The 14,127-nt window shown below is 37.9% G+C and overlaps 1 protein-coding gene across 1 annotated transcript in view; it reads right to left on the bottom strand.

The window, feature by feature from the left end:
- The window catches only part of ATP6V0D2 (ATPase H+ transporting V0 subunit d2), a 55,316-nt gene extending 53,765 nt beyond the window's left edge, over positions 1–1,551 (bottom strand). The window contains exon 1 of the mRNA NM_152565.1: positions 1,353–1,551. Within this exon, the coding sequence (NP_689778.1) occupies positions 1,353–1,482 (130 nt within the window). The 5' untranslated portion in view covers positions 1,483–1,551. The remainder of the gene's footprint in view (positions 1–1,352) is intronic.
- Between the last annotated feature and the right edge of the window lie 12,576 nt (positions 1,552–14,127).

Here is a 14,127-nt window from a genome sequence, read left to right as displayed (position 1 = left end):
GGAGACTGCAAAGTCACCTTTAGAAGGTTCATTGGTTCGTTTTTGCCTTTTAATACCCTTCCTAGGAGGCTTTATTCTTAGTGCTTTCTTGCCTTTTCTAGAATAATCTGGAAGCTTTAAACCACCTTATTATTGACCTATATGGGTTTTGTAAGTATGTTTCAAAATCAGTGAGTGTAGCTGTTTTTAATAATAAAAATACTGTTACAGACGTGGAATCTTTGGTAAGGTTTTGAAAAAAAAAATGTGGTTTAGAGACAATTTCCACTTGTTGAGTATTTATTTATTATAACTGAGAACACTGAGACTCAGAGGCTTGGAGCCACAGGTCACCTACTGGTGACATGACAGAAGTCAAATCCAGGACTTTTGAATCCAGGGCTGGCCCCACCAGTAACAGCTCTTGATTTTTTTTTTTTTTAACTTCAGTTAAAGGTAGACTTCAAACTCTCAAATCAATAGATACTGAGAAATGTGATAGAATAAAATTCTATAGAACAAGGTTTTAAATATATATATTTTTTCTTTGTCATAGATCCCTTGGCAGTTTGGTGAAGCCCTTCTCCAAATGTTTATAAATATGTAGAATGAAAATACACAGGATTATAAAGGAAACCAAATATTTTTAGATATAGTTGTCAAAATGTCTTTAAAATGTATAAGAATCTGGCAGGCATGATGGCTTACGCCTGTAATTCCAGCACTTTGGGAGGCCAAGGCAGTCGGATCACCTGAGGTCAGGAGTTCAAGACCAGCCTGGCCAACATGGTGAAAACCCGTCTCTCCAAAAAGTACAAAAATTAGTCGGGCCAGGTGGTGGGCACCTGTAATCTCAGTTACTCGGGAGGCTGAGGCAGGAGAATTGCTTGAACCCGGGAGGCGGAGGTTGTGGTGAGCCAAGATCACGCCACTATACTTCAGCCTATGCAACAAGAGTGAAACTCCATCTCAATAAATAAATAAATAATAAAGGATGAGTGTGGTATCTTACTTCAAAATAGAGAAAACATACATGACATTTCAAGGTATCTGCAAGAACTTTAAAGGGATATGAAAACATTGAATTTTTGTTGGTGACAGTGTCACAGATACTACTTATCTCAACTACTGTGATTTGTTGCCTACATTAGTAATGAAAGATGTTATAGTTCACTTAGAGATTAAAAATAGAGATTTATTTTTTTTTCCTCATTCAAGTTTATGGACCCCAGAAATCTGGACTGCAGGAATAAGGATCTGCTCAGAACTCTCAAACCATATGATTATGGGCTTTTTTTCTCCATGCTTCTGGAGAGGGACATCATTTCATTTTTTTTTTTTTCTTTTTAAAGGGTGAGAAGAGCTACACTTACCTTCTAGGGTCTCACACTGGACCAGGTTGATATAGTCTTGCTGGGTCAGGAGGCTGGCCTTGCATCCTCGAACCAGGCCCTCCAGGTAGCCATGGTCCACGTTGAAGTACAGCTCCGCACCTTCGAGCATGGGGGAAGAGATTGAAGCCAAGGTAGGGTGAAACAGCTCTGTAGTCCTGGACGGCCCCTGAAGATTTGCACTAGCCTGGGAAAAGTGCGAGTAATTATCAGGCAGCACAAGCAATCTATCAGGTGATAGTCAGGGTTTTTGTGACTAGTTTCCTCTGGTTTCAGTGGCTTTCAACACAGCACACTCAGCCCTGTTTATACAGCAACAATGAATCAGCCAGATGACCCAAGTAAACCCAGGCAACAAACCACGATTGGGAAAAAGAGATATGAGAGTCAGGGGAGGATCCAGGCTCAATTCTTACTCTCCCACAGATGGGACCCTTCCCAGCTTTACTATTGGGAGGCTTCAAACTCCTGAATGTTTTGTAAACATTCCTACCACCAGCTGAGCTTTCAACTGTAATTTACACTAATCCAAAATTCTTTGAGGACTATCAATATGAACAAAGAGAGGGTTTTTAATAAAAATAATTTAATTTAGGCTGGCATGATGGCTTACCTGTAATCCCAGCACTTGCGGAGGCTTAGCGGGGCAGATCACCTGAGGTGGAGACCAGCTTGGCCAGCACGGTGAAACCTCGTCTCTACCAAAAATACAAAAATTAGCCAGGCTTTGTGGTGCATGCCTGTAATCCCAGCTACTCGGGAGGCTGAGGCACGACAATCGATTGAACGTGGGAGGCGGAAGTTGCAGTAAGCTAAGATTGTGCCACTGCACTCCAGCCTGGAGGACAGAGTGAGACTCTGTCTCAAAATAATAATGATAATTATTATTATCATTATTATTATAATATAAGTAAATCAAATGTGACTAGGCAATTTGAAGAGTCATGAGAACCTAATTCTACCACACAGTTCATTTGTAAGACAAATGGTCAGAAATGCCCTAAAATTGCCAAAGGCTGGTAGTTGCTTCCCAGCCAGTCGAAGGGCATAGCCCAGGAAACAATCCTGGAAACAGATACAGAAGGCTATGATTCTATAATAATAAGCCACTACCTCTGCAAAATTGGACTGTTTAGAAGGCACTCTATTTTCTTTTTCCTACTTGAATCTCCTGTTTATTCTGCAATGTGAATCTGCACAGACAGTATTATTACTAAAATCACAAATAAGGAACCAGCCCTCAGAAGCTGTGAGGCAGCTCAAAATGCACAGCTGGCAATACAGTAAGTATTTAATGAAGCTGGGACTTGTGTTGAGTTTCATACTCCAAAAGGAGTGCTTGTTCTGCTATATATTGTATTTAGTTAAAAAATTATGTAAAATATCATGAATGCTATTTGCATATAAAGTGTTTCATATATATTGTGTCAAATCTTTAATTGGAACTAAAGTCCCAGAAATTCTCCAGTCTCTATCAGGGTTTTTCCGAACTGTTTGGGAGAAGCTAGATAAAAAGGAATCAATGTAAATTCTGCTTTGATTGTTGAAAATCACAGAGAATCAAACCTAGCTTTTCACAGTGCCCAGACTTTGAAAGTATTCAATAAATAGTAGAGGCTGCCATTATTGTTATCATTCTCTATCCACCCACCACAATTCCACCATCCTTAAACATCCTGAGTGTGTTTTATGTTGAATCAGTCACTTATTTATCACTTCTGTGGTCTAAAGATGGTTACATATCCACAGTTTTATAGAGTTCAAACTAATACAACTTAAATAAATTATAAATACCACACTTATCTTTTTTAAATTATTTTACTATGTTTTACTGTTATTTATGCACTTGAGGTTATTATGTCTATTGTATTTGTAAGGTAGATATTCTATATAATGACATGCTCTCATGCATCTCTTCTCAACTCCGGGTTTAATGACATAATGACGGTAGCTTGCAGCAGACCATGGCAGGAATGAAGTATTTATACCATGAAAATGGGCAAATGCTACAAATCAGGGCTTGATTCACTGTTTGGTTAATTGTCTGGACTTGAGAAAAAGATGGAGAAAATGTTAATAAAGCAAAGTAAAAGTATGTAATGTTTATAGCCATTATATTGTAAATTGCAAAAAAATTTGAAGAAATGTTCTTTCAGTATTTAAAAACTGTTATCTGATTCAGCAAGGAAGCCACTCCCTTTATGAAGATCAAGAGAAGTTTTACATATGTCTTCGTTGTTTCACTTTCATATTGTTCATTAATGTAAATAGAAATATTAGCCAACATTTATGTTGGATATTCACTTATTTGTCAATTCCAAGTATAGGTTGGGTACAGATAGAAGAATTGAACAAACAAAAAAATCAATGAAAGCATTCTGTGAAAATCAATTGACTATTGAATTGGAATTTACAATAAAGAGTATTTTTTTGGCTGGCTCACGCCTGTAATCTCAGCCCTTTGGGAGACTCAGGCAGGTGGATTGCTTAAGGCCAAGAGTTTGAGACCAGCCTAGGCAACATAGTGAGACCCAGTGTCCACAAAACATTTTTAAAAATTAACCAGGCATAGCGGTGTGCACTTGTGGTCCCAGCTACTTGGGAGGCTGAGGTGGGAGTATCACTTGAGCTGGCTAGGCGCACCTTGCAGTGAGTCGAGATCACACCATTGCATTCCAGCCTGGGTGACACAGTGAAAGCACATCTCAAAAAAAAGTATTATTTTACTGTTGCTTATAAATTGGTTGAGACACATTCTTTGCATCAGTAAAATTTAAAATAAACATGCCATACATTTTTATGGACAGCCAGTTGTTAAATGTGCACACCATAGCTTCTTCACAGTCTTGCCTAGAGCCAGTCCTGGACGTCAACATGCTCAAAAAAAAAAAAAAAAAGGAATTTTGCTGTTGTGTGTGCAAAACAACTTTCCAATTTGCCATATTTTACATTTATATGTAGTGACAATTTCAATGCATCTTTAAAATAATAGTCACCCACATCTTTTGTTATTATGAAATTGATGGGTAAGGCAGCAAAGTATTCCCCTTCCCTTCACATTGTCCTTCTCGCCTGGCAGAAGCAAAAATGTCTCACTCCTGCTAAAGGTACTCGTCATAAATGCCATCAAGCTCACAAGAGATGAGAGGAAACCCAATAGAATGACAAGATCTGGAGTTTCTTTATAAATGGGTCCTTATGGTGAAAACATAATAAAATTGTCATTCCAGTGTTTAAACTACCAATGATGTTCAGGAGAGTGGGCTTTGGAATGTGGCAGGCATGGGTTTGTGGCTCCATCTCTCTAATGGCCAGTGTTTTCATGCGTAAAATAGAAATAATAACACCTGCCTCATAGGTTGTTGCAAAAATTAAATAAGATAAAATCTTTAGCATGCTTAGCACAGGTGGGCGTGTGTGCTAAGTACTTGGTGAAAGGAAGCTACAGTTTTAGTTATCCATGGTCAATGACAGTCTGAAAATATTAAATGGAAAATTCCAGAAATAAATAATTCATACACTTTAAATTTTGTGTCATTCTGAATAGTGTGATGAAATCTTTCTCTCGCCAGCCCCCTATGCCCTAGCCAGAACATGAATCCTCCCTTTGTCCTCCAGGCTGTAGGCACCCCCTGCTTGTGAGTCACTTAGTAGCCATCTCAATTATCAAACCAACTGTCAAGGCAGTTGTTTTGTGTTCAAATAACATTTATTTTACTTAATAATGGACCCAACGTGCAAGAGTAGTGCATCTAATTTATAGATAAACTTTAAATTACACTGGTATGTATGTACAGGAAAAAAACATAGTATATAAAGAGTTTGGCATCCGTTGGGGTGGATTAGGAGGGACTATTGTACAAAAACCACTGTAATCACATTTATTTATTTATTTATTTATTTATTTATTTATTTATTTAAGAAGGAGTCTCACTCTGTCCCCTAGGCTGGAGTGCAGTGGCGCGATCTCAGCTCACTGCAACCTCTCACTCCCGGGTTCAAGCGGTTCTCCTGCCTCAGCCTCCTGAGTAGCTGGGATTATAGGCACGTGCCACCATGCCCAGCTAATTTTTGTATTTTTAGTAGAGACGGGGTTTCACCATGTTGGCCAGGCTAGTCTCAAACTCCTGGCCTCAAGTGATCTGCCCACCCCGGCTTCCCAAAGTGCTGGGATTACAGGCGTGAGTCACTGAGCCTGGCCTGTAATCACTTTTAGATTGAATTTCTTAAATCCAGGAACAGTGCCTTATTCATTTTTCATTTTTCTTTTCTTTTTTTTTTAAAGAGACAGGGACTCACTGTCACCCAGGCTGGAGTGCAGTGGTGTGATCACGGCTCACTGCAGTCTTGAACTCTTGGGTTCAAGCCATCTTCCCACCTCAGGCTCCTGAGCAGCTGATACTACAGATGCACACCAACAGTCCTGGCTCATTTTTCCATCTCTTCAGTGCTTAGTAGCATGCCTTGTGGGGGCAGATAATTCAATACTCATTTCGTGAATTAACTAGAGTCAGAGTTTTAAAATGACTTAAAATTACTTTTACAGAATCTTTAATTCCCTGTTTCTCTAGGAAACACTATACTTGGCAAGTGTATCTGAAGAGTGAGGTTATTTTGTGGTTTTGTAGCCTAACACACATACATATATAATTGTGGATGCGTGTATACCTGTATAGGATGTATAGGAATTATTGTGACTTTTTGTCAACTTCAGGGGCTCCCAAGAGTCATTATCTTCATAGCATTAGAGGATCAATTTATTCTGCAAGGAAAGGAGATATTCCTTGAAGAGGTAAAGTGTCTGTTATTTTGAGCATAAAAAGTTTCTTTCTAGATGTGGTAGGTTCTTCAAAGCGCAATGCAAAAGCAAAGGAGAAGAAGGCTGCTTCCCACACAGCACACAGTCCTCTGATGTCTTCGATGCAGCTAAGGCAGCCAAGGCTTTGCCAACTCTAAAATAATTGTCAGGGTGGACAGTCATATTCACCCTCAGCCCCTGAAAGCATCTTTAGAGGCAGTGTGTGGTACACATTGCCCCTCAGAGCAGAACTATGATGCCATCGTTAATAGCCAATCAAAGGCCAGGTCAAAGCTCTCTCCTAGGACTATCAGCACTTTAAAAAAACAAAACAAAACTTTTAAACTTTTTAGGTTGGGTACAGTGGCTCATGCCTGTGATCCCAGCACTTTGCGAGGCGGAGGCAGGTGGATCACTTGAGCCTAGGAGTCCAAGACCAGCCTGGGCAACATGAAAAAATCACGTCCTTACAAAAAATACAAACAAACAAAAATTGACCTGGCTTGGTGGGCACGTGCCTGTAGTCTCAGCTACTTGGGAGGCTGAGGTGGAAGAATCAATTGAGCCCCCAGAGGTTGAGGCTTCAGTGAGCCTTGATCACGCCACTGCAATCCAGCCTGGGCAACAGAGTGAGAACCTGTCTCAAAAAACCAGAAACAAAAACCAAAAAAAATCCCAAAACAAACAAACAAACCAAAACCAAACCAAACTTTTAAGCTTTTTATGATGGGAAATTTTAAACATACAGGAAAGAAACACTACTATAATTAACCCCCACGTATCCATCACCTACCTTCAATAATTATGGACTCATGGCCAACCTTGTGTCAGTTATACAAAGGATCAGTAAAGTATTTTTTATATAGGTCAAATAGTAAATATTTTAGGAATTGTCGGCCATTTCAACTCTATTGAAATGACTCAACTTTGCTATCGTAGTGGAGAAGCAGCCGCATATCACACATAAATGAACGAATGTGACTGTGTTCCAGTAAAGCTTTATTTACAAAAACAGTTCGTGGGTCAGATTTGACTACTAGGGTATAATTTGCCAACCCCTGATCTATATATAACCTTGCTTGCTTTCTTCCCACCCTGAATTATTTTCAAGTAAAACCAAGATGTATTATTTTATCCATAAACATTTCAATATCTCTAAAAGATAAAGATCCTTTTGCAATATAATCACAATTCTATTAGCATACTTAAAGTTATTCCTTAATATCAACAAAATCTAGGCTGGACACGGTGGCTCACGCCTGTAATCCCAACACTTTGGAAGGCCAAGGCAGGTGGATTACCTGAGGTCAGGAGTTTGAGACTAACCTGGCCAACATGGCAAAACCCCATCTTTACTAAAAATAAAAAAATTAGCCGGGCATGGTGGTGGGTGCCTGTTGTCCCAGCTAAGGCTGAGGCAGGAGAATAGCTTGAACCCAGGAGGCGGAGTTTACAGTGAGCCGAGATCACTCCACTGCACTCCAGCCTGGGAGACAGGGTAAGACTCTGTTTCAAACAAACAAACAAACAACAACAAAAACCCAAAATCTAGTCAATGTTCAAATTTTCCCAATTGTTTTATAATTTTTATTTTATTTTTTTGCCGTCGGTTTATTTGAATAGGAGACACTACAATTGGTTTACGTGTTTTATATTTTCTTTTAGATATGCCTTCCCTCCTCTAACCCTTCTTTTTAAGAAACTGGTGGGTCATGTACCCTGTAGAGTTTTGCACATTTGGAATTTGCTGATTGCATCGTGTGGCGTCATTTAACATGTTGTGGTGTCCCCTGTAATTCCTATAAATTGGTAGTTAGATCTGGAGGCTAGATCACACTTATGTTAGATTTTTCTTTTGCAAGAACACTCACAACAGTACTGAATACTTGCATCAGAATGCATGTAACATTTGTCTCTCACTTTTTTTTTTCAAAGCAGCCATTTATGATCACCACCTAGATCCACTATTTCATTAGGAATAACAAAATAATTATATTTTTAGTTTATTACTCCTTCATTCATTAGCTGAAATACTCTAAAAAAGAAACTACATCAACTATTGGTTACCCTAGTATATAGTTTGTATAGAAAAGGCAGGATAGGCCAGGGGCAGTGGCTCATGCCTGTAATCCCAGCACTTTGGGAGGCCAAGGCAGATAGATCATGAGGTCAGGAGTTCAAGACCAGCCTGGCCTAGATGGTGAAACCCTGTCTCTACTAAAAATACAAAAATTAGCCGGGTGTGGTGGCGGGTGCCTGTGGTCCCAGCTGAGGCTGAGGCAAGAGAATTGCTTGAAACCAGGAGGCAGAGTTTGCAGTGAGCTGAGATCACACCACTGCACTCCAGCCTGGGCGACAGAGCAAGACTTTGTCTCCAAAAAAAAAAAAAAAAAAAAAGAACAGGCAGGATAAAGGCCAGGGTTTCTAACAAATAAAGATATTATTAAGGTACATATTTAAACATGATTAACATGTTCTTTTGATATAACTCTGGCAGGATTTTTTTGTGTTTCCTTCCTTCCTTCCTTCCCTCCCTCCCTTTTCCTTCCTTCCTTCCTTCTTTCCTTCTTTCCTTCCTTCCTTCCTTCCTTTCTCTCTCTCTCTTTCTCTTTCTTTCCTTCTTTCCTTCTTTCCTTCCTTTCTCTCTCTCTCTTTCTCTTTCTTTCTTTCATTCTTTCCTTCCTTCCTTCTTTCCTTCCTTCCTTCCTTCCTTCCTTCCTTCCTTCCTTCCTTCCTTCTTTCTTTCTTTCTCTCTTTCTCTCTCTCTGTCCCTTTCTTTCTTTCTTTCTTTCTTTCTTTCTTTCTTTCTTTCTTTCTTTCTCTCTCTGTCTCTTTCTTTCTTTCTTTCTTTCTTTCTTTCTTTCTTTCTTTCTTTCTTTCTTTCTTCCTTCCTTCCTTCCTTCCTTCCTTCCTTCCTTCCTTCCTTCCTGTCTTTCTTTCTTTCTTTCTTTCTTTTTTCATACAGAGTCTTGCTCTGTTGCCCAGGCTGGATTACAGTGGTGCAACCTTGGCTCATTGCAACCTCCACCTCCCGGGTTCAAGTGATTCTCCTGCCTCAGCCTCCTGAGTAGCTAGGATTACAGGTGCCCGCCACTACACCCAGCTAATTTTTGTATTTTTGGTAGCGATAGGGTTTCACCATGTTGGCCAGGCTTGTCTCGAACTCCTGACCACTAATGATCCACCCACCTCAGCCTCCCAAAGTGCTGGGATTACAGGCATGAGCTACCACACCCAGCCAACTCTGACTTTTTGATAGCTTCCTTGCTTTCTGTAATGACTGGATCTTCCAAGCTCATTTTGTACAATTTTTTGCCCAGACCTGGAATGAGCTGTTCTCTGAGAAGCTCTGATTTAACATTGCAGTTCTTATTCCTGCTGCTTTATTAAAATATAATTGACAAAATTTGAATATATTTATTGTATAGAATGTGAATTTTTGATACATGTATACATTGTGAAATGATTATCTTTTTTTGTATGTGTATGTATAAAGAGAAAAATTTAAGATCTAGTCTCTTAAATTTTAAGTGTACCATACAGTATTGTCACCTATACTCACCATGCTGCACATTAGGTCCCCAGATTTACTCACCTTGTAACTGAACATTAGTACTCCTGGACAAACATCTCCCCATTTCCCCCGTCCTCCAGCCCCTGGCAATCAGCATTCTACTTCTGCTCTTTTTTTCTATGAGTTCAGCTTTTTCAGATGCCTCATCTAAGTGAGATCATACAGTTTTTGTCTTCTTAATCCCACTTGTGGGCATATGTCCAAAGGAAACAAAGTCAGTATCTCAAAGAGATATTTACACTCCCATGTTCATTGCAGCATTATTCACAATAGCCAAGACATGGAAACACAGTGTCCATTCAATGGATGAATGGATAAAGAAAATTGATAAAGCGAATAGATTTATATGTATATGTGTATATACATATGTGTGTCTGTGTGTATATATATAAAATGGAGTATGTATTATTTATTATTATTTATTTAGTCCTAAAAGAGAAGGAAATCCATTTGCAGCAACGTTGATTAGCTTTGAGAAGACGGCAGTTCTTTTGTTAAAAAAAAGGAAATTAAAAAAAAAAGATATGGGATCTCACTATGTTGCCCAGTCTGCTCACCTGGGCTCAAGTGATCCTCCTACCTTGGCCTACCAAAGTGCTGGGATCCAGGAAGATTGCAGTTCTTAATGCATGTTCAGAAAAATGCAAAGCCCCTGCAGTGCGTGGACGGTACAATACGTGGTGTGATGGCCCCACACTTCTCTCTGGAATCTAAAGTGAGGGCCCAGGAGGCAGATTCTAAGAGCAGATGTGCTCAGTAGGGAACAGTGCTTTTGTGGATGGCTATGTGGTTACCTTTTCTTAACTTTCCCTCCACTACTGAAGTTTTTCTAATTAGAACATGTCAAAACAAAACAAACCTTCCATATCAGTCCAAGAAAAACATTATCCTGGAAAAAGTGAATTATAAGGTCGTATGAACTTGATGCCTGTGTACGTTCTTCAAGAATTCTAACTTGACTAAGGCAGATTACAGTGAGAAAACTTAGCATGTGTCTGTCTTCAGTATCAGAACACAGCAGGCAAACCTGATTGCTCACTTGACATTGATTCTGAACAGATACTATGCTCCTCAGCCAGAGCACACTCCTGGTTTAACTTGCTTTTGATAAACAGAGAAGAATTTGTGAACTGTCGCCAGAGTCATTGACTTTCTGGACTACTTCACCTAGAAGGATCTCTTATATTTGGAGTTGGAAGTGGGGCCATTTATGCTTTGTTGATTTTGGCGATTTAAAGTTATGAGTATTTTAATATTTTCTTCTTCCTGAAGAGAAGACTAAAAGAATTTCAGGTGTTGGATGGCTATTAAATCTTCCTTGGCAGTAATTTGTAATGTGTTATTTGCCCAAATGGTTTACCTTTTGTATTTTAACAAAATAATATTTTTGCTATTATATATTAATTAAACCTGGACCTGATTTAGTACATCTTCCTTCATAGTATCTCACTGTTCTTCAGGGACCTTATTTCATCTCTTATTACAAAATCTGTCTAGTGGCAAGAATTTTTATTTGAATTAGAAAAATGGGAAAATCAATCATCATTTGTTAATATTTGGATAAAATATTTAATGTAGGTATAACTACAAAGCAAAAGTAAGAAGTTCAAAATCATGGAATAGCTATATATTTCAAATGCTTAAAGGAATTACTTAGTACTTTAATCCAAATTCTATATTCTGATTGCAGTGAAATGAGTAATTACCTGGGAAAGATGATAATTTTTGTCTATATTTTATTATATTTTATTGTCCTTATTTTCTTTTCTGCTTATCAGAGCAATGCATACTTTTTATAAAAATTGAACCATTACAAAAATATATGAGATTAAAGCTACTTAATACCACTCTTAAAGAGAACCTCTGATAACAATTTGGGGGAACACTAAAGTTGCTTATTGAAGCACCAAAATATTTGCTTCGGGTGGCCGAATTAATTTTTCAAAGGTCATTTTGATTTTGAACCACAAGAGGTCGCCATAACATTATAGCAAGCGTCTACATTTGGTTCCTCCCATCTGCACATTTTTAATTTGAAATATGTCATGTCAAAGTTTTAACAAGTGGCTTCGGGTTGTTTATGTTAAGAGATTCTTTAGACATCTCACTAAGTGTCAAGAAGTTCTGCTACTCCCTAGCTCTTACTCACTCCCCAAACCACTGTTTGTCTTCATCACAAATGTCAAGCCCTTCTCCTCTTTCCTAAACAGTAAGTGACTTTTTACCTTTTTGGCTGTTATTTCACACTCTGTATATGTTTTCATTTCCTTTGTGTATTCACAGTGACTTATTTTATTTTAAGAATCCCTGAGAGATGCTCTGTAAAAAAAAAAAGAGAGCTCTGTGAACAAACAGGTTTGGGAAATGCAGTTGATAATCAATGTATCATCTTGGACAGTCAGCGTGCGCATTAGCATAGTAAAGTCTCCGAGAAGCCCTTTGTAATTAAAGGTGTTTAACTTTAACCCAGTGCTTTCCAAACAATTGATTGGACAATGCCTTCCTTTGTTTAGATAATTGTATTAGTCCTTTTTCACACTGGTATAAATAACTACCTGAGCCTGGGTATTTTATTTTATTCTATTTGATATTTTATTTTATTTTATTTTATTTTATTTTATTTTAAAGAGACAGGGTCTCCCTATGCTGCATAGACTGGTCTCAAACTCCTGGACTCAAATGATCCTCTTGCCTTGGCCTCCCAAGAGCTGAGACTGAGTAATTTATAAAGAAGAGGTTTAATTGGCTCATGGTTCCACAGATTATACAGGAAGCATGGCTGGGGAGGCCTCAGGAAACTTACAATCATGGCAGAAGGCGTAGCGGAAGGAGAAACGTCTTACATGGCCAGAGAAGGAGCAAGAGAGAGAGGAGGAAGATGCCACACACACACTTAAAAACAACCAGATCTTGTGAGAACTCTATCAGGAGACAGTACTACGGGAATGGTGCTAAACCATTAGAAACCAACCCCATGATCCAATCACTTCCCACCAGGCCCCACCTTTCACACAGGGGATTACAATTCAACATGAGATTTGGGTGGGGATACAAAGCCAAACCATATGACTATTTAATACCTTTAGCAACCTGAAGAAGTGGTATTCTTTTGACCATTATCTGGGAAATTCTGATTTATAACATTAATTATTTTAAAAGTGTTACAAAACTCATATATCACTATTCTATACATATCCACTTCATTTTTAACTTGAATAAATTATATCTTTTGAATTCACATGAAGTTAAAAATTTGTATTTTAAAATATGTATTTTTAAAGCATGACAGTATTTTCTTCTGTCTTCCAAATATTTCCTATTTTTAATTTTTTTTTTTTTTGTATTTTGATGGCAATGATCCCAGGAGCTGTCTTGCTACAGCAGTAACTTGTATAGTAATTACATAAACTAATGATGGAAAATTTACCAGCTGGACTTGTAAATGGTATTATTATGATGAGAATACTATTTTCATGAGAAATAATGAACAAAGAAAAGTGAATTATAGGCAGAAAGGTCATTATTTTAAATTATTATAAGGCCACAAAAATGTCACAGAAGAAAGATTAGTAATCAGAAAAGGTTTTATACTAACAAACCTTGCAATCTTAGTGTACAAAGAGACCTCAGTGTCATTTGATATAATGTCATATCACCTGCAGAAATCGGGAAGGACTCATGACTGTTTGAGGCTGATCATTAAATTTTCAGATATCTTCAAGTAGTAGAAATATCTGTTTCCTAGCAAAGCAAAACGTGTTCCCATGAAACTAATCTACTGGTTCTATTTCTGCAATATATAGGTTTTCTTTTATTGAAATGACTTTTTTATTTTCTGGAAAATAAATTTCTTGATGTGAGAGTTCTCCAAAGATCACATGGAATAGAATAATAGGACATATTGGCAATGACAGAGAATTTAGGACAACAACAACAGCCTTCTTACCTTAAAGAAAGAGAAACTCAACTTCTAAAAGATTAAGAAAATTTTTTAAATGTTAAATTAAGTTAAATTTAAAATTGTAAACATCTTTATTGAAATATGATTCAATGCCATAAAAGCCAACCATTTAAAGTGTGCAATTCAGTGGTTTCTTATATTCAGAATTGTGCAATCACTCTCAAAATTTAAGTTTAGAACATTTTTATAACTGAAAAGAGAAATCTCATACCCATTACTACTCATTTCCCATTTTCTCCCTCCTACTTTCCCCCACCTCTACACAACCACTAATCTACTGTCTCTATAGATTTACCTATTCTGGGCATTTCATATACACGGAACAATATAATTTGTGTTCTTTTGTGTTTGGCTTCCTTTGCTCAGCAAGATTTCAAGATTCATCCGTGTTGTAGCATATACAAGTACTTTACTCCTTTTTATT

The sequence above is a fragment of the Homo sapiens genome, chromosome 8 (genome assembly GCF_000001405.40).
Source record: "Homo sapiens chromosome 8, GRCh38.p14 Primary Assembly".
NCBI lineage: Eukaryota > Metazoa > Chordata > Mammalia > Primates > Hominidae > Homo > Homo sapiens.
The sequence above is the reverse complement of the archived record's forward strand: the minus strand, read 5'-3'. Positions and strand labels throughout refer to the sequence as shown.